General features: G+C 34.6%; 2 protein-coding genes and 1 pseudogene across 10 annotated transcripts in view; 2 read left to right on the forward strand and 1 right to left on the reverse strand.

The window, feature by feature from the left end:
• BMP2K (BMP2 inducible kinase) overlaps positions 1–27,510 on the forward strand; it is a 140,016-nt gene that overhangs the window by 98,781 nt on the left and 13,725 nt on the right. For 4 of the 7 annotated variants that reach the window (XM_047415932.1, NM_198892.2, XM_017008381.2 and 1 more), the window contains 2 exons: positions 3,604–3,761; positions 12,044–12,154. In XM_047415932.1, the coding sequence (XP_047271888.1) occupies positions 3,604–3,761; positions 12,044–12,154 (269 nt within the window). Of the gene's footprint in view, positions 1–3,603; positions 4,306–12,043; positions 12,155–12,869; positions 13,101–27,510 lie in introns of those variants that run through there. The other 3 variants (NM_001419800.1, NM_001419799.1, NM_017593.5) reach the window with 3 other exon arrangements.
• Positions 11,946–27,510, reverse strand: part of PAQR3 (progestin and adipoQ receptor family member 3) — a 52,363-nt gene continuing 36,798 nt past the window's right edge. For 2 of the 3 annotated variants that reach the window (XR_938694.4, XR_007096371.1), the window contains one exon: positions 11,946–12,179. The gene's annotated coding sequence lies outside the window, so the exon portion shown is untranslated. Of the gene's footprint in view, positions 12,180–17,909; positions 19,796–27,510 lie in introns of those variants that run through there. The other variant, XR_007096372.1, reaches the window with a different exon arrangement.
• On the forward strand, positions 23,728–24,024 carry RN7SL127P (RNA, 7SL, cytoplasmic 127, pseudogene; annotated as a pseudogene).

A 27,510-nucleotide genomic window follows, 5' to 3' on the forward strand; every position in this document is an offset into this window, starting at 1 on the left:
ACTTCATTAATATTATACCTATTTAACATCAGATTGTATGTTGAGTATAGTATCTTCTGTAACAATTTAAAAAGAGCTCTAAACTAATGTTCCTGCTTATGACAAAGTCAGTGGAAGAAGAGAATTGGGGTTAAATGTTTGTCTCTCAGTGGATAAGGGCTATTTGAGTAGAATATAAGAAACCAAGTAGTAGTTCCTTAGACAGAGGGAAAGAGTCACTATCTTTGTTGGAATAATTATTTCCTTTTCTTTTCTACTATCTTTTGCTAAACTTTCTACTCTTCCACCATGTTAATTTATCTTTAGTATGAATATCAGAGAGTATTACTGTGTTATATTCCAATAATAGTTAAAATAAACATCATCTATGCATACGTTATCTTCTTATGATATAATTGCCCTGTTATATTAGTTATCTGTTGATGCCTAATAAATTATCTCAAAACTTAATGGTTTAAAACAGCAGTTAACATTTATTATCTTACATACTTTCTTTGGATCAGAAATTTAGGGGTGGCTTAACAGGGTGGTTGTGTCTGGTAAGGCTGGGTCGGCTGTCCTCTGAAGGCTTGGCTGGTGATAAAGGATGTAATTTACAAGATAGTTCACTCACATGGCTTTGGGCAGGAGGCTTCAGTCCCCTGCCACATGGATTTCTTCAAAAGACTGCTTGAGTTTTCTCTTTGCCAAGGCAAAAATTATTTTGAACAAGGAATTATTGATTCTGGTTTCTCCCTCAATAAGTGATCCAAGAGACAGAGCAAGGAGGAATCTGAAATGTCTTTTTAGACCTAGTCTCAGCAGTCATGGGCTGCTGCTTGTGCCATATTTCATTTGTTAGAATTGAGTCACTAGATCTAGCTCATGTTCAAGGGCAGTGAAATTCGGTTTCACCCTTCGAAGGGAGGAATGTCAGATAACTTGTAGACATTTTTTAATACCTGTTTAAACTAGGTTAAGGTGATAACCCTATTGAGTTACAGTCTGCCAATAGGAATCCATAAATTTATTTTGGGAATAGGAAGAGGGTGATTCATATAGGGAATCCGAAAGTTCTAAAAGGAATGATTGACAGACAGGAGGGGGGATGCCCATCTCTCTTTGAGTTTTACCCACTGTGATCTGTTTTTTTTTTTCCTTCAATTTTCTGGGTAAAAACATCTGATCTGTGTTTTAAGGAGAGATGGGACTCTGTCACACAGAGGCAGGCTCAGACTGGCAGTTAATGCATCCAGAATGGACTTTAAACTGAATTGTTTTTTAAATTAAGATACCTAAGTTCTATTTACTAAGCAAGTCTATTTACTTGTAGGTAACTTACTATTTATTTTCCTCTGTTATATGCTAGCCTTCAGTAAGTATTTAAGTATCCTATTCTTGGCTCAGATATGCTGAAGGGGCTTGGACTAAGGGATTAAATAGACGACTTTTGCCTTTCTTTTCTCTTCTAAGACCTGTTTGGTGGCAATGGCAATGAGCTCTCAACGGTTAGGTAAATTTAGGGGATCAGTTAAGACTTGTGAAATTGAGATACTACTTTGAACATTAGGATTCTCCCTTCATTACTACTGTTAAGAGGATTTGCATATGAATTATGAAAGGAACTTAATAGCTTTCTTACATTGTCTCGTTCTTATGCTATACAGTCATGCATTGCATAACAATGGGGACATGTTCTAAGAAATTGCATCATTAGGCAATTTTATTGTTGTATGAACATCATAGAGTGCATTTACACAAACTTAGATGGTATAGCCTACTACACATCTAGGCTTTATTATATAGCTTATTGCTCTTACGCTACAAACCTGTATAGCATGTTACTATATTTAGTACTATAGACAATTGTAACAGAATGGTAAGTATTTTTGTATCTAAACATAGAAAAGGTAAAATAAAAATATTGTATAAAGGATTAAAAATGGTACATCTGTATAGGGCACTTACCATGAATGGAGCTTAGAGGACTGGAAGTTTTTCTGGGTGGGTCAATGAGTGAGTCGTGAGTGAACGTGAAGGCCTAGGACATTACTGTACACTATTATAGACTTGACTTTATAAACACTGCATTCTTAGAACACACTAAATTTATATAAAATTTTTTTCTTCTTCAATAATAAATTAACCTTAGTTTACTGTGACTTTTTTACTTTATAAACTTTGAAAATTTAAAAACATTTTGACTCTTTGGTTATAACACAAAACACAAACATGTACAACTGTACAAAAATATTTTCTTTATATTCTTATTCTATAAGTTTTTTCTTTTTTAACTTTTCTTTTTATACTTTTTTGTTGAAAACTAAGACACAAACACACACATCAGCCCGGGCCTACACAAGATGTGGATTGTCAATATCACTGTCTTCCACCTCCACATCTTGTCTCACTGCAAGTTCTTTAGGGGCAATAACAGGCATGGAGCTGTCATCTCCTATGATAACAATACCTTCTCCTGGAATACCTCCTAAAGGACCTGCCTGAGGCTGTTTTACAGTCGACTTTAAATAAAATAAGTAGGAGTATACTTGAACATAACTCAAAAATATGGTACAGTAAATACATAAAGCAGTAATACAGTCATTATCAAATATGCACTGTACACAATTGTATTGCTATACTTTTATACAACTGGCAGCCCAGTAGGTGTGTTCAAATCAGCATCACCACAAACACATGAGTAAGCTGTTGTGCTATGGTGTTACAATGGCTACGATATCACTAGGTGATAGGAATTTTTCAGCTCTATTTTAATCTTATGGAACCACCATCATATGTATGGTCCATTGGTGAGTGAAAGGTCATTATGTGGTATATGACTATATTTCCAGGCTGGGTTGAGGGAGAGGTACACAGGGATTCTTGGGTTAAGAAATCTTTATATTCTCATCTTCTCTTAAAAGCCAAGAGCCCTGTAGGATAATTTTCATAGAACCAGTGGTCTCAGGCTCCAGACTCTAGATACTTTAAATACTATAATAATTTATTATATGCAAAAATAACCCTCATTTAACTTTAGCTAATTTATAAAGCAGTCCTAGCAATTCATCTTTTGTTGGTAGCTATATATAGGGAATGCCTTTGTCAAAAGGAAAATTACTGTGGTGTCCCAGCATAACCAAGGCATTTGATCACTGTGTTCAGTAGTGATTTTAGAGTGATGCTGTCTGATAAGGTGACTGATTTTTTACTTTAAGTCTTGTTTACTATGATAATAACAGTTAATATTTATTATTTTTACTAGATATTGTTCTCTTTGCTTTACGTGTATTAAATTATTTAATCTTCTCAGCAACCCTATGAGGTGGATACTATTACTCCTTTTTACAGATGAAGTTGAGGCAGAGAAGTTAAGGAACTTGCCCAAGGGTACACAGCTAGGGTACCTTATGTAGGTGATTATGGAGCTAGTATACCTTATGGAGGTGATCTAGATCCCATATGTTCTCCCTCTCCATCTCATGCCCTTGTCTGTCATCTCTGTCATAAGGAAATGATTTGGTTTTCTAAGTATTTATAAAGTATAAAGTAGGGCATTGTAAATTTTTATTTATTTTAATTTTTCTTTCCATCTTCTTTTTTCTTACTCAATTATTACTATAGGTCAGTTGCTGATAAAGAGGCCATTGCAAATTTCACAAATCAGAAGAACATCAGCAATCCACCTGATATGTCAGGGTGGAATCCTTTTGGAGAGGATAATTTCTCTAAGTTAACAGAAGAGGAACTATTGGACAGAGAATTTGACCTTCTAAGATCAAGTAAGGGACACTTGAAGGCTTATTTTGCTTCACAGTAAAATAACAGCTCTATTATTATTCAGCAAGGCCAAAGACTTTTGAGAATGTGTATGGAAAATTCTTTTTGTGCATTTGAGGGCAAAATTCAGGCCATCTTCTTATACATATACTATCAAATTATGTTGTGTGCATTAGAAATCAGTTGCTTGATAGTAGCTATTAAACCCAATATTGCTGATAGTATGCTAATATCCTAAAACTTAAATATTGCATATCTATGAATGTTAAATTCAGAATATCTCTAAAACATGGAAAATTGATGTTTCAATAAAAAGGGAGACATTTTATTATTTTGCCTTACTAATGATTTTGCAGCTCTGTTTTTCTGCACACTCAATAGAAAATATTGTGGGTCTGAGATGCCCTTTGAAAATGCCTGAAAGAAAACATGGGCTACTACATTATGTTAATGTTTTGTAATGTCCTTTTAATGAGTGGTGACATAAAAGGGCTGCTTTGTTGTCCTGATATGGCAAAAATTAAATAAATTCTTTTTCACTTTAAATCAGATATCTCAATGTTTTTACTTGGAATCATTGCTTTTCTTTGAACTACCTAATATATGTCAAGCTTCGCCACACATATTTTAGAAATGTCCTTTTTGAAAGAATGATGTGAGTGTTTTGAGTAGGTTGCCAAATAGGAGCAAAAAGCTCACTTCTAGAGTATGTAGATAATTTTCAGGTTTCTGAGGCTTTGTGTGTGTGTGTGTGTGTGCACGCGCATGTGTGTGCAGGTGTGCACACAAAACAAGTGTGTTTTCCCCTTTTGCATGTGAAAAGAAGGTCTTAATAATCCCTAGTTTATAGTTCCTAGTTCCTATTTCATTTAGGTAATTGGCCTTATGAGAATGTTTAATAGATGAAATGCTTTGTTCTGAATTGGTATATATTTTATGTAAAATTCCTGTAAGAATAGTTTGGGATTTAAATTTGTATTTTATATATTGGTTATATGATTATGAAAATTAAATTGATGATTAAATGCAGATATAAAAATAAGTTCTGAGCCGTTAATAAAGGTTTCTAAATAAAACCGATCACATGTTACTAAAACAATTTTTTTTTAAACCACGGCTTTTTTTGTTTGGCATTTTCCTAGAATTTATGTTGAGTAGTCCCAAAAGCAAGATTTTTTGTTTGTTTGTTTTTTGTTTTTTGAGACCGAGTTTTGCTCTTGTTGCCCAGGCTGGAGTGCAATGGCGCAATCTCGGCTCACCGCAACCTCCGCCTCCTGGGTTCAAGCAATTCTCCTGCCTCAGCCTCCCGAGTAGCTGGGATTACAGGCATGTGCCACCACGCCCAGCGAATTTTGTATTTTTAGTAGAGATGGGATTTCTCCATGTTGGTCAGGCTGGTCTCAAACTCCTGACCTCAGGTGATCCACCCACCTCGGCCTCCCAAAGTACTGGGATTACAGGCGTGAGCCACCATGCCCAGCTCTTTCAGAGTTATGGAAGGGGTAGATACAAGGTGTAACCAAATCATTATAATTTATAGGATTATATTTAAAGCAAAAGATATTAATTTTAATGTGTACTGACCAGGGTTTACTAAATTAGTATTTTCAACTGCTTAGGTAAAAAATTATTTTTAAAAAATGAATTTATGAAATGGGTATTCACATTATTTTGTATCTTATAAAAATGTGTTATTCTAAGTTCCCTAGAATTTGTAATGACATCAAAGTAGTTTTATTTACTTAGCATAGGCAAGAGTGACATATGAATATGCCTATATGTGTATAACTTCATAAAAATTGGGTTGAGCACGTAAAATTCTTAAGTAGCTATTTTTAAGAATAGCTTAAAACTTCATGATCAGATAATGTGTAAATTTTAAACTTCATGATCAGATGCCATTTGTAAATTGTGCATGTGTCTGTGTGCACATGTGTATGCCAAAGAGACTTCAGACTTTGCAGTATTAATTACAGAAAGATACTAAGATCCAAAGGAAAGTGCAGGAGGAATTTTATGTGAAGGTTAGACTTGGAGCAACCTTAGCCATTTGGAAAAACAGCTACATGGTCCATGAGCTACTGAAATTATTGTCACAAGTCTGATGTGCTTAATTTGGCACACAGTACCAGAAAACATAAATTTTGATCCCTGACAATGTTACTTAACTAGATTGTAATCTCAGATAAGTCACTCAACTGCTGTTAGTCTCACTTCCACATTTATAAACTGGGGATAATGATGCCTACTTCATAGGGTTGTCCAGATAATTAAATGATGTCTTTAAATTTGGGCACTCAATAAATAAATGCCACTTTCTCTTTTCTCACTTTCTGTATAAGCCTTTATGTCATGACTTAAGAGGTTTTTGGCTTTTAGCCAGCATTTAAAAATTATATTTAAATTATTAGTTTCTCAGTGGTAATTTAACAGTCAAATTAGAAGGGGCTTTGTGGGCAAACACATCAAAAGCAGAAGTGACAAATGATAGCAAGGAAGTTGATGGAAAAGTGTCTGTTTTTCCTTTAATAATTGATACTCATTGTTCAGTGACTATTTTGGGGTCATTGAACCCACTCTTTTAGGGTTCAAAAAAGGTGAAGTGTCATTAATAAAAAAGTTTGTAATTACTATAAAGTTGTGTATAAAATGTAGTTTAGAAAGGTTTCCTCTCAGAGTTTAACTTAACTGTAATATTTAGTCATCTTTAGCACCTCTTTCAGAAGCAATAAGATATCTAATATTTGATCTATTTGATGAGTTTATATTATATTGATGGGCAAAAGACCTCTTCCAGAACCTTCAGAGTTTATTAGAAGACTAATTGTTCAATGAAAATTGATAGATGGTCATTATATTAAACTTTCTTAAAGTTTAATGACTTTCACCTTTTTTGAATTCTGAAATAGTGGGTTCAGTGACTCCAAAATTTTGCCCATCAGTATAATATAAATCCTATCATTTTACAAAATGAATAAATAAACTGTTGATTCAGTTGAAATGCAATGTAGGATATTTGTACCCTTTTCCTTGACACAGGTATTAACAATTTTCCAAAGTCTTTTCTAAAATAATTTATATTTGGTTTATAAAACACTTTCCAGTGAGAAACTGAAAGCCTTTATATGGTCCTTAAAAGTATAGGTATTGCCAATGCAATGATTATTCAGAATAATACATTCCCATTTGGGGTTTTATTTTGAATATGATTCATGGTTATTTTTTTAAAAACAAAAAAAGGAAAATAATATGCTGTTTAGGGAATATTTTATGTGTATTATCCAGAAAGTAATTTTCAAATCATAATAGTATTTTGAGATATCAAAATTCTAAAATATTACTAATTAGTGATCTTTAAGAAAACAGTTGATTTCCTATACTAGGCAAAGGGATTTAATATGTAAAATAAACTAGATTCTTCTTGCTTTCACCCTTCACTATAAATGAATACCATTTATGGTTCAGAATTGTTTTACCTGTTCTTAATTTTAGTAAGAACAAAACATTAAATCAAATTTAAGCAATAATAATAAAGCTTGTCTGAATGATTTTTTTAAAATTTAAGTTTGTATTTTTACTTTTTTGTACCAGAACATCCAGAGTAGTATGTAAACTTTAGCAATTTGTCATAATATTTTAGTATTTTAATATTTAATATGACAATTTAAAATTGCCATAATATTTAATACTTTAAACAGTAATTAGAACATAGATGCTTGCTTTGGGGAAATTATTAACATATTTGTGCAAATAGTTGTATAGTTATACTCGTTAATTAAAACTATTACTTCATGAAATATATTTCATTTATTGATGGTGGATTTGTTTCTGCTTAAAATTGGATCAAAATAACTAAAAAGAAAAATAGAAGATAACTAAAGATTATGATTGCTTTATAAATTCTACTGAATGTTGTTGTTTCACCTATGAAGCCACAGAATGATAATGGCTATAAGCATCTGAATCTGTAGTTTATTGTAAAATATTAACCCTCATCTTTTGTAGCAAATTCAGAACTATTACTGTTCCTTCAGTGTAGAATAACAGAGCTTTTCAAATATATTAGACCAGTTTCAGGAGTTTTTCATTAACCTTTTAGCCTTTTACACCATTATCCATATAAGCAGCAGAATTAACTTTGTAGACTATTTTAATTTCGTGATAATATTATGGAATATACTTTGATTCTAGGATTTTAAAATCCTATATTTTTGCTATCTGTATCAATTAAAATTCTTGAAAAGATACTGTCTTTATTCACCAACATAATTCTTTTGTGAAGGCAGGAGGTAAGTTTCTCATATTGGATAATCAAGCTTTGTTCTAATCTAAAGAAAACCAGTCATTTGAAAATGTAATTAAAAACATTTTAGGGTTGACTATGTATTTACAAAGTAGTTCTACATAACCATTTCATTAGATTTTATTTGTAGGTAATTAATAATTACAAAATTAATGTGTATATTTCTTTTGTATTTTGTGTCCTGAGACTCACATTTTCATGTGAACTTTAGAAACATAAATGATTTTTTAAAAATTCAATTGAAAACTTGATTCTGTGTTTTGTGGAACAATAACATTATTCATTTTACAGTGAATTTATTCTGATTCCTATTTTGAAATAACTGGATAAATGGACTTAGCATAGAGCAGTATCTTCCATATTTTTACTTATAGGGACCCCTACATAAAAATAAGTTCCCCTCTACATGATAATGTGTATAGTTTTGTCATAATTTCACAGTACTGTTTATATACTTACCATAAATTTACCACAGACTGATGGATGTAATATACCCAGTGCATGAGGATTTAAAGAACCTTAGTGATAACTTCACAGTTTTATAAGCTGGGACTCATTATTATAGTAGTGGTTTAAATACGTGGAGAGGGTCAGGTGTGGTGGTTCATGCCTGTAATCCTGCTACTTTGGAGGTTGAGGTGGGAGGATTGCTTGAGGCCAGGAGTTCGAGACTAGCCTGAGCAATATAGTGAGACCTTGTGTCTACAAAAAATTAAAAAAATAAAATTAGCCAAGTATGGTGTGCCTGTAGTCCCAGCTACTCCAGAGGCTGAGCCTGGGAGGCAGAGGTTGCAGTGAGCCAAGATCATGCCACTGTATTACAGCCTGGGTGAAACAGCAAGGCTCTGTCTCACAAACAAACGTGCTGAGAGGCTGGGTGTGGTGGCTCCTGCCTATAATCCAGCACTTTGGGAGGATTGCTTGAGTCTAGGAGTTTGAGACCAGCCTGGGCAACATAGAGCTTATCTCTACAAAAAATAAAAAATTAGCTGAACGTGGTGGCCTGTGCCTCTAGTGCCAGCAACTTGGGAGGCTGAGATTGGAGGATCGCTTGAACCTGAGAGGTTGAGGCCACAGTGAGCCATGATCATGCCACTGCGCTCTAGGTTGGGTGAAAGAGTGAGACCCTGTCTCAAAACATAAAATAAAACAAACAAAAAAAACCAGTATATAAAATTGCAGATTCCTAAGTTACTACCTAATGAATCAAGTAGACCTAATGAATCAAGTCTACGGTTGGGTCCAGGTAACTACATTTTATACAGGAATCCTAGCAGTTATGATGCAGATGGTTGAGGCAAAAAGTCTGTTTCTAATTCAGACCTAAATACTTATACTTTTGGTCTTAATTTTCAGGAATGAGGGCCCTTGGATATTGACATGCTGTAGTTATCATTCTGAGTCAGTCTCTTCCATTTGTTCTTTCTCACCCCCTCTTTTCTCTGTCCTCAGTGCTTTATACACTGGAATTTGGGAAATGGAGAAGAGTGGGGGAGTCCAGGTGGATTCTGATACAAGGCATAATTACTGGTTTTACAGTTCCTCCATAAATGCATTCAGGGCCTGAATAAATAGGTAACCACATGTAATCTCTATGACTCAGTGAATCTTAATCCTCACCTTAAGGTTTGATTGTGGCCTCCCACCACAATAAGTTAGGGACCCTTCGTTATATAAATTATTCTTCAACCTTTTGCAGAAAGATGTTATGGGACTAGCTACTCTTTAATGGGTGTTTTGACAACAAAATAATAAAAAGTTTTTAGTAAAATGAGCATTTGTTACTGATTTCCTGCATTAAGTATACAGTTAATATCTTGAAAAATAATACCCAAAATGAATTTTCATTGTTAACCAATGCAGTGTTGGATTTGAAAAGTAGCACTTAAGTTTAGGAAGTTTTGTTTGTTCATAAAACAATTGTCAGATGTATTTAGTAACTCAATATTAGTGCCTCAACAAAATGTTTAATAGTGTTTCAACAAAATTTTAAGTAAAAATTTAAACAATCCAAAGTTTCATGTAGATACTGCAGAGTTCATCTTAGCTGTAAGAGCTGGTAATTGTCCCGTTGTCATAAAGGTTTTGAAAGAATTAGTTGCCCATAGGAGTAATTATATTTAGAATATAATAGACTCTAGGGCCTTGTTTATTCAAGAGTGTACTTCTTGGACAGCAGTGTCAGTATCACTGGGGGGCTAGTTGAAGTGTGGAATGTCAGGATCCTCCCCAAACTCATCCCATCAGAGTCTACATTTTAACAAATCCCCAGGTAACTGAAATGTACATTAAATGTAAAAAGCACTGTTAGAAGAGATGCTGCTTGAACTTGGGGCTTTTTGCTTCACTCCAAAATTAAAAGTCATTTTTAGGGAATTCCAATTCTACTTGGGTTCTGCCTCCCCTACACTGCAGTCCCTTAGAACTCAGTTGAAACCAGTACAGCTTACCATGGAATTCTTGGAATATAGGTCAGTCTAAACATGATTTGGATTTTTTCAAATGGCTGTGGACCAAAGGTCTGCTGGTAGAAATGCTTGAAATATCTGGAAAGGAGGTAGAATGAGTCTCAAATAGAATTTTGATTGCCAAGAATCAGAGGCTAGAGAGACATCCTACAAAAATCAGGAAGTTCTCAACTAGTATGTGTCTACTATGTGGAGAGTTTTTTTGTTGGTTTTAGAGACAGAGTCTCTCTGTCATCCAGGCTGGAATGCAGTGGTACAGTTTTGCCTCACTGTAGCCTCAATTTTTAGTAGTATTTTTGCATTCTTAAAGTAATGTGTTATTGACTGTTATAGAATATTGTGAAGTTAACATTCTGTAAAGATCGGGAGAGATTCAAATTTTATTACATGCTTGGTGAAAAAAGTCATCTCACTGTGTTGCTCAGGCTGGTTTCAAGAAATCCTCCTGCCTTGGTCTCCCAGAGTGCTGGGATTATAGGTGTGAGCCCCCATCCCTGAACTGTATGGAGAGTTTAAGAGCAAGGAAAAGATAATCATTACTAGGGAGTCAGGATATATCAACTCAAAACACACCGGGCCTCTTGCCTTAGAGTCTTCGCTCCAGCTCTTTCTCTACCTGATTGTTCTTTCCTAGATATTTACTCCCTTGCGTCCTTCAAGTCTTTTCTTACCTAGTAACTAATAGAATCACTCTGTTACTAAAACCTCTACCCACTTCCTCAATTCCTGTTTCCCTGCACTACATTTTTCTCTATAGCTTTTAATACACCATATACATTTCTTATTATGCCTATTGCCTATTATTTGTTTTTTCCACACCAGCATATAAACTGCATAAGGGCAGGGGTCTTTGTTTTGTTTGACCTTACATGCCAGTTGCCTAGAATAGTGCCTGGCACATTGGCACATAGTAGATACTAAAATTTACTTGTTGAATGAATCAATAAACTCTGTTTTTGTGTAAGTTTTTGTGAGTGTACGTGGGGGCATGTGTGTTTGTGTGTGTGTGTGCGAGAGAGAGAATGGTTTGATAGTACAAAGTAGTACAAAAAAAGAACAAAAAAGTAAGATATAGTGAATTACTTTTTATTACTATTGAGAAGTAAGATTTACCTACTTTATGGATGAATGACCATTTGCAAGATTTTTTCTAAATTTATTTTTGGAGACTGTCTGTCAAATATGTCTCTGTTTATTTAGCTGGGTTTGAGTTCAGGCCCAAAAGTTGAGGACAAGTAGTATTTAAATGAATCAGACTAAGTTTATTGTTGGGTTAATTGTATTTAGTGAAACCTATCACGGATTATATTGTTAAATTTGCTTTTGCAGCAACAAATATGTATTAAATTCAGGACTACTCCCTAATACTTACAGTGATAGATTCTGAACCTAATGTTTTGCAAAAAGGCTGGTGCTTTAATTTTCACTTTTATTTATATGTATATCACTTTTTAATTTAAAGATCATTTTTATTTCATTTCATTTTTTATTTCGTTTCATCTTATTTTTGCAGATAGGCTCGAGGAGAGAGCATCCTCAGATAAGAATGTAGACTCACTTTCTGCTCCACATAACCATCCTCCAGAAGATCCTTTTGGTTCTGTTCCTTTCATTTCTCATTCAGGCAAGTTACACATGTAACATCATCACTGTCACAAATAAAACACACAAGAACAACAGCAAAATCTTATAAAGTGGAAGTAAGACTCTGATGTTAGTTAGCTACAGAAAGTAGAAAATATTTTAACCTTTAGCCATCCTACTCTTCTTAATGATGTTCTTTGCATTGAGTTATTATTCAGTTGTATCTTTGCCAACATAGAAAAATGCTGATTTACACAATAGAAACATAACTGCTTCTTTTCATCTTTATTATTGGATACTGTTGAAAAAAATATTTAAAGATATTTTTATACTTGGCTTTTGCTTAAAAATTTGATATTTTCCTAGTTTGTACATGCTCTCTTGTAGATGCATTTTAAAAGTATTAATAATTTTGTATTTGTCACAATCACTTTGTTTTACTCTTGTCTTCTTATATCCCTCTTTTGATTTCAATTCAGAATTCAAATATTGATGTTTTTCACTGTTAAAAATTTTCAGTAATAATTTCAAATTACCCAGTTAACACTTGGAAGATACTAGGATGGAATAGGATCGTGCATTGGCATAAATGAATTTTCATGTATGTATGGTTATAGTGGAAAAAAAGAGTTTTAATCTTGGCAAAGGGAAATATGTTAGAAGAAGTTATGCTTTATTAGAAGGTAAAAGTTCGATATATTCATGGTAACTGTCGGCCATGTTCTTCAGTTCTGTTCCTTTTGTTTCTCACTCAGGCAAGTTACATATGTAACACCATTTGAAAACTACAGAATTAACAACAAAAGAAAAACTTACAAATGTAAAGCCAAAAGAAGAATTGAGTGTTTAGGATTTCTGCTGAGTACATTGAACAGCTTTTCAACATTCAGACTTGTTTGGTTATCTGGAATATACAGGATAGTTTTTTCATTGCTTTCATACTCCATATTTTTCTCTTTGACATTTATTAAAAACAGTTCCTATTCTTGCTGTTTTCTGTTTGCTGCTTTCAAGTTTTCTTTTTCATAAATGACATAATTAACTGGGGAACATAGCTTACTGTGTCTGTTTACTTATTCTGCATAAATGTGTTCCCTTATACCCCCAATACCCTGGGTAATGGAATTATTACTGTCTAAAATTATAATAACTCAAAATAGTCATTGTAAGTTCTCAAGAACATAGTATTCAATGACTTGAGATACTGATCTCTGTGTGGTAGAAGGCAGTTTCAGTACTAGCTCTTTTACATCCTCTGTTAGGAATTGCATTATCCTTTTCAGGTTTGCATGGACCTATACAACTACTTCTCTGATGTTTAATAGCATCTGAAAGAACCCTGGGGAAATGAATAGTAGAGTTAGGAGAACTGAAGTAAGCTTCAGTGATTGGTCTTTTCTCTGGACACCCTTATTTGGAGGTTGGCCTAAAGATTTTGTACTTCGCAACATGTTCACAGGTTTGAGCTCGATTGCTGCTATTTTGTTTAACTGTTTACTATGGGTATTTATATTAGATTTTAAGCTAATTGAGGGTGGGAAATATGAATTGTCTATCTTTGAATCCTGCCCAGTATACAACCCAGTAGGTACCTAATACTGTTCATTGAATGTGCAGAAAAAAATCATGACTATCTATAAAAATTCATATTCCTTAGATTTAGGACAGTGGCCTTAAAAAAAATGCCCATTAATGGGCCGGGCGCGGTGGCTTGCGCCTGTAATCCCAGCACTTTGGGAGGCCAAGGCAGGCGGATCATGAGGTCAGGAGATCAAGACCATCCTGGCTAACACGGTGAAACCCCATCTCTACTAAAAATACAAAAAATCAGCCAGGCGTGGTGGTGGGTGCCTGTAATCCCAGCTACTCGGGAGGCTAAGGCAGGAGAATGGCGTGAACCCGGGAGGCGGAGTTTGCAGTGAGCCGAGATCGTGCCAGTGCACTCCAACCTGGGCGATAGAGTGAGACTCTGTCTCAAAAAAAAAAAAAAAAAAAAAAGCCCATTAATATAAATGCTACCTTTTAAAGAAATCTTTTTAAACAGTGTGAACATAAATATTGGACTGGTTTGGTTATGAAAAAAGTATATAGACTGGAATAAAGGAGAGTATGGTCATAGGAGAAATGCGTCTCCTGAGAAAGAAGAAAAAGTGATCACTGTGCAATATTAGCACTGTTAATTTGATATATGTCAGATCTAAAATATTAAGTTAAAAAATCTAAATATATTGCTACTTATTATAAAGCTTTGAAATACTTTGTCATGTATAATTTTTAGGTAAAAATGTATTTGGGGACATTCATTTTTCTTTAATAGCAAAATAATTGAACCTACTGAAACAAGAATTAACCTCCCTATAAGCTTTAGGAAAAAGTTGGACAAAGGAGTTCTATCCAATGAAAATACACTCTACTAGCGTTGTGAGACTGAAAAAGCATCTGGAGATTTCTAGGACTAGGACCCAAGAAAGGCAAAAAACTACTCCCAGGTGTATGTGTGTATATACAATACAGAATGATAAGTATATGCGATAAGCCATCTTATTTGAATTTGAGAGTTGACAATTACTAAACAGAATTTAATTTTTAGTAAACCATATAGAGAATGCTACTTGAGAATAAAATGAATTTATGCAGCAGAATGCTTGTAAGAACTTAGTTAAGTTTTAAGTCTAATGCTAATGTTCATTTAAGAACCACTGTCCTGAATCTAGTGTTCCTTACACTGGTTTTATTAGGAATTGTGCTCTTTTTATTTTGAAAGAAAAAGTTTCTGTGAAAACTTTTAACCTCAACTTTGATACTGTAATAGATTAGTATATACTTTTTTCTGCAGTTTTTCATAATCTTACAAAGTGATTTGTAAATTGAAACTTTATTAAAGTATGTATATAGTTTAAAAAGTCAGATTTAACAAGATTTGAAATGGAAAAAAAAAAATCACTTCCTTTCCTGTTCCCTCCCAGTCCCCTTTTCCTACTTAAACTCCTTAGAGGTAATTTTTCACTTCTGGCATTTTAATATATCATGCTAATTATGCTATTTCTTACCTCTGCACTTTTTAAAACAATAGCTATGGACTTTCTATTATGGAAAATGAGATTTTTTTTTGATTTAGATATTTTACAGTTTGTCCGCCTCACACATACACAATCATGCGCACACACACACACACACACACACGTGTCCTGTCCTTACATCCAGCATGTTTTTGACACAGTTTTTGGTTGATTCAGTGTTCAGTGTCTACATTTTTTTAATATGTAAATATTTGTCACCACTGAGGTTTATTATCTATCCCATGATCACATTTCCTGTCTTTGTTTTTCCTGGAGTTAATTACTGTGTTTATAATCACTATGTTTTTTGTTTGCTTAGTTTTTTATGTACCCTATCATTGATTAATCTTCATTTAGAAGTGTAAATTTCCTCCCAGTTTAAGGTGGCTATCATTTTCATTCTTCATTACATCTCTCATGGAGCTCTGCAATCAGAACTGGTTGCTTTCTGGAGCTGTCACACTTATAATTCTAGTATTTTTCCCACCAATCTTTATGGAAATTCCTGGAGCTCTTCTCATCCTTTTTCTTGGTTTGTTAGTAAAGCAACTCCTCTAGTTGTTGCTTGAGAAAATATGCATGAGAGGAAGTTCTAAGCTTTGCTGCCTAGGCTGGGTGGGGTGGCTCATGCCTGTAATCCCAGCATTTTGGGAGGCTGAGGTGGGAGGATTGCTTGCTTGAGGCCAAGAGTTTAAGACCAGTCTGGGTGACATAGTGAGACCTTGTCTCTACAAAAATAAATACAAAATAAACTTTGCTGCCTAAAAGTTTGTATTTTCCCTAAACTGATACCTGATTGATAATTTGGCAGGGCAAATAATTTTAGGTTAGATATAATTTTCCCTGTGAGTTTTAAGAGGCACTGCTTCATAGTATTTTAGCTTCTCATATTTCTGTTGAGAAATCTGATATTATTCTCTTTTCTGATCCTTTATGTGTGAACTGTGGTAGGTTTCTTCTTCTTCCTCTTTTTCTTATTCCTGCTCCTCTTTCTCTTCCTCCTTACCCCACCATGGACATTTGTAGCATCTGTATTAACTTGTTCTGAATATTCAAGATGTTGTACCTTTTATTCATTGTGCTGGGGACCTAGTGGGCCTTACTTATTTAGCCTGGAAACTTGTATTTTCTTGCTGTATATGCTTTGGTAATTTTTTCTTCCTCTTTCTGGACTTTCTTCTTTTAAAATCATTCCTCTTACTAGGATATTGTGCCGTTTGGATTGAACCTCTAATTTAAATTTTGTTCTCCTCTGTTTTCTAGCTCTTTGTCTTTTATATTTGCATCTTAGAAATTTCCTTGGCTTTATATTACAGACATTATTTCTGATTGCAAATAACATATTATTGGATGCAGTATATTTTAATTTGTCTGAGGATACTTTGGTTTTGCACATTTTGCCACACCTTTTCTTCTCTTTTCTTTATCTTTCACTCTAAGAGTTTCAGCAAATTATTGTAAATTATTTTCTTCCCAGAGAAGGTAGCCTTAAACTGAGACCTGAAGGATGTAAAGAAGTTTGCTTATTAGATACAGTGTTTCCCAGGCTTGAGAAATCCTTTAGTTTGATACAGATTACTGAGTCTAAAATGTGATGGAGAAGTGGGGAAGGATGAGACTAGTGGGAAATGCCAAACCGACACTGAATTTCTTGGAAACAACCTAGTTGACCATGATTTCTTTTATAAAAAATATTGCTGTTTTCAGTCTTTAAAAGGATGTTTTATTCATGAAGGATATTGAACTTTGGTTTTCTTTCCTTGTAATCTGTCAGGCTTTTGTTTCAGAGTTATGTTGGTCTCGTAAAATGAGTTGGGAAATGTTACTTGTACTTTCTGTAAGAGTTAGTGTATGATGTAGATTTTTTTCCTAAATATTTAGAATTCACCTGTGAAGCAAACTGGGCTTCAAGTTACCTTTGTGAAAAGGTTTTTAATTACATATTTAATATCTTTAATAGTTATAGGGCCGTTTAGATGTTCAGTTTTCTTACATTGTAAATTTTGAAATTTATATTTTTAAAGAAATTTGTACATTTCACTTGAGATACTGGGTTTTATTGACGTGAAGTTTTTAATAATGTTCCAGTATCATCATTTGAAAATGTGGAGGATCTATTCTGATATTCCGTTTTTATACCTAATGGTAGTAATTTGTGTTTTCCCCTTTTTATCAAACTTGCTAAGGTATTAATCTCTTTAAAGAACCAACTTTTGACTTTATCTGCTCTTTATTTATTGACATATGCTAAAATTTTTATGTTTTCTTCTACCTATTTCAGGAATAATTTGCTACTCTTTCTCTAGCTTCTTAAGCAAGATTTAAATACAAGCATACTTTGGAGATACTGCAGGTTCCATTCCAGACCACTACAAAAAGTGAATATTTTGCAATAAAGAGAGGGACACACATTTTTTTGTTTCCCAGTGCATACAAAAGTTACATTTACGCTATGCTGTAATCTGTTAAGTATGCAATAATATTATGTCTAAAAAAATGTATATACCATAATTTAAAAATAACTTATTGATAAAAAATGCTAACAATCATCTGAACCTTCAGCTGGTTGTAATCTTTTTGCTGGTGGCAGGTCTTGCCTCAGTATTGAAGGCTGCTGATGGATTAGGGTGTTGGTTGCTGAAAGAAGGGGTGGCTATGGTAATTTCTTAAAATAAGACAATGATTAAGTTTGCAAAATCAGTGGACTCTTCATGAAAGACTTCTCTGTACATGCAATGCTGTTTGATATAATTTTTTAATCCACAGTAGAACTTCTTCCAAAATTGGAGTTAATTCCCTCAAACCATACCATTGCTTTATGAATTATGTTTATGTAATATTCTAAATTCTTGGAGTCATTTCAGCAGTGTTCACAGCATCTTCACCAGGAACAGATTCCATCTCAAGAAACCACTTCTTTGCTCAAGCATAAGCAACTCCTCATCTGTTCCAGTTTGATTACGAGACTGCAACAATTCAGTCACATTTTTAGGTTCTATTTCTAGTTCTCTTGCTCTTTCCATGACATCTGCAGTTACTTCCTTCACTGAAATCTTAAACCCTTCAAAATCATCCATGAGGGTTGGAGTCAACTTCCAGAGTCTTGTTAATGTTGATATTTTGACCTGTTCTTACGAATCACGAATGATTTTAATGAAATCTAGAATGGTGAATTCTTTTCAGGTTTTCAGTTTACTTTGCACAGATTCATGAGAGAATTCACTATCTGTAACAGTTATAACCTTATGAAATGTATTTCTTAAATAATAAGACTTTTAAAAATGGGTCCTGCTTTGTCTTCCAGGCTGGAATGGAGTGGCATGGTCATAACTCACTATGGCCTCGAACTCCTGGGCTCCAGTGATCCTCCCGCCTCAGCATCCCATGTAGCTGGGACTATAGGCATGCACTACAACACCTGCGAAATTCTTTAAAGTTTTCCTTAGAGTTTGGGTCTCACTATGTTGCCCAGGTTCGTCTTGAACTCCTGGCCTCAAGCAGCCCTCTCACCTCAACCTCCAGAGTAGCTGGGATTATAGTGTGAGCCACCAAGCCCAGCTAATAAGACTTGAAAGACACAATTACTGCTTGATCCATGGGCTGCAGATGGGATGTTATTTTAGCAGGCATGAAAACAACAGTAATCTTCTTGTACTTCTCCATCAGAGCTCTTGGGTGACAGGTGCATTGTCAATGAGCAGGAATATTTTGAAAGGAATCTTCTTTTCTGAGCAGTAGATTTCAAGAGTGGGTTTCAAATAATCAGTAAACTATGCTGGAAACAGATGTGATGTCATCCAGGCTTTGTTATTTCATTTATAGAACACAAACAGAGTAGTTTTAGCATAGTTCTTAAGGGCCTCGAAGTTTTGGAATGGCAAGTAAGCATTGGTTTCAACTTAAAGTCACCAATTGCATTAGCTCCTAACAAGAGAGTCAGTCTGTCCTTTGAATCTTTGAAGCCAGACATGGACTTAACTATAGCTCTAAAAGTCCTAGATGGCATCTTCCAATAGAAGGCTGTTTTCTGTATTGAAAATCTGTTGTTTAGTGTAGCCACCTTCATCAGTGATCTTAGTGAAATCTTCCGGATAACTTGTTACACTTCCTGCGTTACCTGTACTTACATGTTCTGGAGATGGCTTCTTTCCTTACAGCTCATGATCCAACCTCTACTAGCTTCAGATTTTTCTTCTGCAGGTTTCTCACTTCACTCAGCCTTCATAGGATTGAAGAGAGTTAGAGCCTTGCTCTGGATTAAGGCTTTGGCTTACGGGAACGCAGTGGTTGGTTTGATCTTCTGTCCAGACCATTAAAATTTTCTCCATATCAGCAGTAAGGTTGTTTTCCTTTCTTACCGTTCATCACTGATCACTGGAGTATCACTTTTAATTTCCTTCAATAATTTTTCCTTTGTGTTCACTTGGCTAACTGGTGCAAGAGGCCTAGCTTTTGACCTATCTCAGCTTTCAGCGTGCTTTCCTCTCTAAGCTTAGTCATTTCTAACTCTTGATTTAAAGTGACAGATGCATCTCGTCCTTTCACCTGAACACTTAGAGGCCATTGTGGGGTTATTAATTGGCCTAATTTCAATATTGTTGTGTCTCAGGGAATAGGGAGACCTAAGGAAAGGGAGAGAGACACGGAACAGCTGGTCGGTAGATCAGTCAGAACACATAAACATTTATCAGTTAAGTTTGCTGTCTTATATGGGCTCAGTTTGTGGAGCCCAAAACAATTACAGTAGTAACATCAAAGATCACTGATCACAGGGTCACCGTAACAGATACAATAATAATGAAAAAGTTTTAAATATTGTAAGAATTACCAGAATGTGACATAGAGACACAAAGTAATCACATGCTTTTAAAAAAATGGCAGTGATAGACTTGTTCAACATAGGCTTGCTACAGAGTTTTAATTTTTTTAGAAAGTCAATCTTGGAAATACAGTGAAGTCTGGCACAATACAAAAACGTACACCTGTATTTAATTTTACACTGATCTTTTTAAAGCATAGGGTTTAAGGTACAGATTTCTCTGCAAACACAGTTTAGCTGCATTTCACACATTTTGATATGCTGAATTTGCCACATAGTTTATAATTTTTCTAATTTCTCACAAATTTCAAAAAGTGTTTTGATTAAAGGTTGAAATCCCAGAGGGTTTAGGATAAATTTTTAAAAAATACTTGACATTGAGGATTCCCTTGAAGTAAATGATACTAGAAGAAATAAAAGAACTGACACCTAAAAAAAAAAGAGGTAATGAAATAAAAGTTGAAAGTGAGACTTGGGAAAAAATAAGAAGATGGATCTATAGATTTATTAATGGAAGTTGGGATGTAGATGGGAATTTAGCTCATATCTATTGTTAAAGAAAAATCATCAAAATTTTATGGAGCAAAAGGACTATAATATCATTGCCAATTGTACTCTAATTTTTATATGAACACAGCTTTTGTTGTTGTTGTTTTTGAAACAGCATTTTGCTTTTTTGCCCAGGCTGGAGTGCAGTGGCATGATCACGGTTCACTGCAACCTTGAACTCCTGAGCTCAAGCAGTCCTCCCACCTTAGCCTCCTAAGAAGCCTGGACTACAAGCAGAAGCTACCTCGCCCAGCTAATTTTTTAATTTTTAGTAGAGACAAGGTCTCGCTGTGTTGAATAGGCTGATCTTGAATTTCTGGGTTCAAGCAATCCTGCCTTGGCCTCCCACAATGCTGGGATTACAGGCGTGAGCCATCCTGCCAAGTCCAAATACAGTGTTTAATTAATTGAAACATAGGGTGCTTTTAATTTTCTTTCCTTACCTTTATGAATCTATAACCTAACTTTTTTGCAGCCAAGATTATAAATGACATTCATTTTTCTCACAACTAATAATCCTACTGTCACTGCCAGAGATGGAATATTGGGCTTGGTGAGCCAGTGATCAAACTATCAAATTTTGGCAGTTTTTTATACAAATGCCTATACTATGATAAAATACTCAAAGCATGTGTATTGAAAAAGTAGGGATCAGAAATAACATTTAATTGTACTTATATTTAAAAATTATATGAGTAAATTCTTGAAGTTAAAATTATCTGGGTTCAGTTTAAAGTCTATTGATAGCATTTGACCCAGGCAAATCACCTACTTGCTGTGTGTATCAGTTTCCTCATCTATAAAATGGGGGTAATAGTCCATAACATGTGACTCAGGGTTTTTAGTGATTAATAAGAAAAATATATGTGAAGCACAAAAAGTGACTGGCACATAGTTTTTCAGGAAACATTAGATTTTGTCATGATTATTATACATGGTGAATGCAGTGCAGTGAGATCTCAACTATGAGACTAATATGTCTACTTGATTTTTACAAATGAATTATCTTTTTAATTTTATGGGAATTTCTAGAAGTTGTTAAATTTCTAATATTTAAACTGTTTTTTATCACAATATTTCTTTGCTGCTGCTTTTGCAAATCCATCAAGAAGAGTTTGCAATATTTTAAATAATTCTTTATTGAATATCCTTACACATGAACATTTGGCACATGACATTATTCCTAGAGGAGGACTAATGGCCAAGAGCATGTACATTTACAGAATGGATTTATTGCTAGATGGGCCTACAGAATGAATACACTGATTTATGCTCCCACTGGAAGTTTTCAAAAAATGCTCATTTACTTGGGAAGCTTAATCTTAGAGTTTTGATAGTTTCCTCTCTTGAAATATATTGCTTGGGGGGAAATGTACAATGGAGCTGGTAAGTAAATACAATTTAGTATGATTTTATATATATATATAATGCTTAAAATATGGAGTAAAATTAGCATAAGATATTGCTGATGGCATAAATTGGTAAAACTTTTTTTTGAGAGCAGCTTAAGAAAATGTTTTTTTGATTTTTTTAAGCCTTATTTCTGGGAACTTACCTTAAGAAAATAACATAACATCTTGGGGAAAAGTGCAGCTATAAAAATGTTCAGTACAACATTAGTTGTAGAAACAAAATTTAAAGTGCCCTAAATATCCAATATTAGGTGAAATATTAAATTATGGCTTATTTAGTAATTAAAATTTAGTGCTGTTTTTAAAATGATGGAAGTGAAGATTATGTAGCAATGTACAAATGTGTCTCTGCTATAATTGAATTAAAAATTTATAATGAAAAATTAACTATATCATAAAACTTTGAATAATATAGGAAAAACACAATCTCATCATTATATTAGCACAGCTATTTGAATTTTGAACCATTTACTTCATTTTCCTTGTAGATCTAATATTTATACCTGTTAAGCATAGTGTATGTAAAACTTTTTGATCCTTTTTCTTGCTACTTCTGTGTTTTCATAGCATTTTTTATAGCGCTAAGTATCCTACCATGTACAGATAATTTGTTTTAATTTATATTTGCATTGGTGCCTCTTATTTCTTCTACCTTCTAATTTCCCAGCCGTGATTAATATGGGCATAGTCTCAGAAGTTAATTCAGGAGCTATTTCTATTACTGGATAGAGTTTTATCTGAAAATCTAAAAGGATTATTATAAAGATTACAGCCCTTGCCTCTCAAGGACTTCGAGATTGGTTAGGTTGAGAGAGTCATGAAAACTACATGCAATTAAGATGCAAATGCTACAATAGATAAATTATTCTGTTGGTGCACAAAGGAGAGAGTTGCTTTATTCTGGTTGAGTTGGGATTGGGAAATGAGGAAAGCTTCATGAGAAAGATGTTACTTATGGTTAAGCCCTGAGAAATGAATGCATGTGAACTTACAGGAATGAAGAGGGCATTCAGAGCAGAGAGAACAGTTGTGAGCAAAGTTCTAAGACAATTCAGTATGTTCAGAGAATTGCAGGTATTTGAGGATGGCAGTATTAGGTTTGGTAAACTTCCTCAACGCTCCCAAAGACCCTAGACCCACCCTGTGGGCTTTATTATCTAATAGGAAGTTAAATTGAGTTTAGGATTGGGAAACATTACATTACATAGAGCAAATATTTGTTGGAACATAACATTTACAGATTGTCAGTCCACTGCTGGGCCATTTTATAAGCTACAATAAGGTGTATTGTTTATTTTAGATTCTAGTGTATGATTCTTGAAGAACTTCAGGATGTTAGCAATAATAGTTATATATTGAATTAAACTGGAGAGGTTGGCAGGGGCTATCATGATATGGAGACAGTGGAGGTAATAGGTAGAAATGGAAGGACTTTAAAACAGGAAAGGAATATGATTAATACAGTCTAGAAAGATTACACTGGAAAGACTGTAATCTTTCTAGACTGTATATCTAATCATATTCCTTTCCTGTTTAAAGTCCTTCCATTGGGCGACAGAGCGAGACTCCATCTCAAAAAAAAAAAAAGACCATTGCTCCTCAAAGTGTGGTCTGCAACAAAATGACTACAGAAATTGAAAGCAAGTGAGAAATAACTTTATATGTATTGAATCACTTGGACAATGTGAATTGGGATATTAACAAAAATAAGAAATAAACCTATTGCTTCACTACTTCAAGTCTGAGAAGTAGTGATTAAAAGATTATTGCAGCTGGTGCAGTGGCATGTGCTTGTAGTCCCAGCTGCTCGGGAGGCTTAGGCGAGAGGACTGCTTGAGCCCAGTAGTTCTGGACTGCAATGCACTATGCTGATCCTGTGTCTGCACTAAGTTGGACCTCAATATGGTGACCTCCAGGAAGCGAGGGGGACCACCAGGTTGCCTAAGGAAGGGTGAACTGGCTCAGGTTGGAAGTAGAGCAGGTCAAAACTCCGGTGCTGATCAGTAGTGGGATCATGCCTATGAATAGCCACTGCACTCCAGCCTGGGCAACATAGTGAGACCCCTTCTCTTAAAGTAAGTCTATTGCAAAAGACTCCATGCTTGAAATAACAGCCTGAGAGAGATTTAGAGGGGCAGAATATATAGGATTTAGTAACCATATGGGAGGGAACAGGGGACCTTGAAGGAAAGAGAGGAATCTAAAATGATTAGCAGATTTTTGTTTCAGCAAAATTGGTGAAGTTCTTTTCTGGAAAGGGAGAATATAGGGTAGGTCAAGAAAAGAGTTCACATTCACATAGGTTGAGTTTGAGTTGTCTGTAGGGGCACTGGAATCTTTTTAGTAGGCATTTAGACACAAAAGAAGACATCCAAGACAGAAATCTTGGCCATTGGGTTTACCATCAAGAAAGTGGTAGTTCATGCCAGTTAGAAGAGACTAGAAGAGGGATGAGAAGAAGAAAATTCAGGTTAATTCTAACAGTGAAGAGGCAAGACAAAGGAGATAAGAAAAGGGATAGAGAAAGAAGGACCATAGAAACAGGAGAAGTACAGGAGGGCTGAAGAAAGAATTTTTTTTTTTTTTCCCAAAGGATTGAGCATATCTTTTGAAATGTCCACAGGGTTACAGGGTTAGGGTGACTGGAAATAGTCCATTAGATTTAGCATTTAGTAATTATTTTATCTTGGCAAAAATAATGCGGTTGGAATCCTGATTGCAGTGGATTTGAGAAGTGAATGAGAGTTGAAGAAGTTGAGATATTAGCAACAGATTATTCTTTCCAAGAGTCCAGCTGTGCTGAGAACAGAGAAAGGTAGGTAGGTAAGGATTAAGGGAAGAATTTAGATTTTATATGGGCAAGACAAGAAAATTATATGATGTGAGAGTGAGTGTTGATATATACAGTCGATCCTTGAACAACACGGGTTTGAACTGTGTGGATTCCTTTATACACTAATTTTCTTTCGCCTCTGCTATCCCTATCTTCTTTTGTGTCTAAATGCCTACAGCAAGAACAACCCCTCTTCTTTGCTCCTCAGCCTACTCAATGTGAAGACGATGAGGATGAGGACCTTTATGATGATCTACTTTCACTTAATTAGTAGTAAATATCTTATTGACATTTTGTTTTCTCTTTAAGAATACAGTGTATAATATAACATTCAAAATATGTTATTAGTTGATTATGTTATCAGCAAGGCTTCTGGTTAACAGTAGGCTATTAGCAGTTAAGTTTTTGAGGAGTTAAAAGTTACACATGGATTTTTGACTGTGTCGGAGGTTGATACCTCTAATCCCCTCATTGTTCAAGGCTCAACTGTATATAGAAAGACTGAAAGTGAAGGAAGGAGAAGGAATAAACAGTATTCTGGAGAGATAAAGTCAGTAGCACAGATGGAAAAATGAGAGTCTAACAAGACATAAAAATTTTTCTCCTTGAGACTGGGAATAGCTGTAAATAGGTTTGTGATAGGGAATTAAGGATAATTCATGTATTCACAGTCTGGTTCAGTCAGCTGGCCTACCTTACTTTGGCCACAAAGAATGATCTTTCTGATTTATTTGTTGCCTTAGTTTATGATATCATTTCCAGACTTTTAGAAAGATTAGCTGAATATAACATTTAGATAGACTATGTCTTAAAATGAATCAAGTCTAGTTTTTTCTCTTCTTAATTTTAAACATTGATTTCTGGGAAAGTTAAATTTATAATGATCCATTTACGCAAAAATCAAATAATTGTATCAATAATCTGTTTGCTATATGCAAATGTTATGTTTTATTCCACAAGTTGATATTTTAATTATCATGAATTATATTTGCCTTTTATGGCAGGTTATAAAACTGATGTTAGTAGTGTGGTTTATCAAAAGACCATTGACTTTGGAATTATAAAACCCTGAGTTAAAAATCTTAGTTCTATCACAGATTAACCATTTGATATTGAGTATTGGCAAACTTGTTTTCCTTTTTTGAGATAAGAGTCTTGCTCTGTTGCCCAGGCTGGAGTGCAGTGGCGTGATCATAGGCTTACTACAGCCCGGACCTCTTGGGCTCAAGCAATCCTACTCTCTCAGCCTCCCAAGTAGCTGGGACTATAGGTGTGCACCACCATTCTCAGCTACTTTTTTATTTTATTTTATTATTTTTTTTTTTGTAGAGACTAGGTCTTACTATGTTGCCTAGGCTTGTCTCTAATTCCTGGTCTCAAGAAAGCCTTTTACCTCAGCCTCCCAAAGTGCTGGGATTACAGGCAAGAGCCATTGTGCCCAGCCCAAACTTCTTGTAAAATTTATCTTAAATTGGAGATAATACTGGCTACTTGATAAGAAAATTGAAAGGATTAAATGAGTTATGCTAGTTTTCTCTTAACTGCTGAATGAAACCTTTAAAATGTAGAACCTGTTTGTGAGGATTTCCACTACCAGTATCTGTTTAAGATGGTGCCATTCCTATTTTCACTAAAGGATTAACTACCAGTGTTGACTACAGTATACTCATAAAAATCATATTTAAAGCATGGTATTCATTCCCTTTCCTGAAACCCACATTCCCTTTCTTCTCCCCAGGGCACTGTTTTACAGTTAGTTTGCATACCAACATAGGATAGGTGGCTCTGTGAATTATATAATGTAGTGTGGACCACCCCATTTTAATAAACACCTACAACTTCTAAAACGTAGTTTTCATGAAATTCTAAAATTGTATTTGAAGAGTTTTAGTGACATGTAGGCCATATTAATTAGGTCACTGAAGTTTTAGATTTCTTATATTGCATTTAATTTTTAATTAGGCTTGGTGAACTTCCTCAATGCTCCCAAAGACCCTAGACCCACCTCGTGGGCTTTATTATCTAATAGGAAGTTAAATTGAGTTTAGGATTGGGAAACATTACCTTACATAGAGCAAATATTTGTTGGAACATAACATTTACAGATTGTCAGTCCAAATGCTGGGCCATTTTATAAGCTACAATGAGGTGTATTGTTTATTTTAGATTCTAGTGTATGATTCTTGAAGAACTTCAGGATGTTAGCAATAATAGTTACGATATACTGAATTCCACTGTATACATAGAGTAGAAAATGAGGCTCAGAAAGGTTCACTGACTTGCTTAAGCTTACATAGTTTATAAGTAGGAATCTGGCTTTGTCTCATTCTAAACCCTATTCTGTAAATAGCAAAACAAAGCATTAACCTATTTTAAAGAAAAATTTATATTAATATGAGAACATAATGGAAATGTCAGTTTTATGGCATTTTTCATCTGGCTGGGAAATACTGTTCACAACTATTAGGATTCTCTTCTTATACTCAAACCCTGTCACTTGGCCTGCCTTCTGAGAAGCAGTACAGATTTGATAAAACCTTCTCCTAATCCACTAATCCTTGTGACTAACATGGTAAATTGCTGGGAGATGATGGCAGGCAGTATGCTGCCAATTCAAAGTGAACTTTGAAGTCTTATAGCCCCTCCCGTACACCCTCAATGATGAGACAACAGAAGGCATGTAATTACAATAGAAGTTTCAAGCCATTTATCTTCTATAATCTG

Source organism: Homo sapiens, chromosome 4 (genome assembly GCF_000001405.40).
Source record: "Homo sapiens chromosome 4, GRCh38.p14 Primary Assembly".
Taxonomy (NCBI): Eukaryota; Metazoa; Chordata; class Mammalia; order Primates; family Hominidae; genus Homo; species Homo sapiens.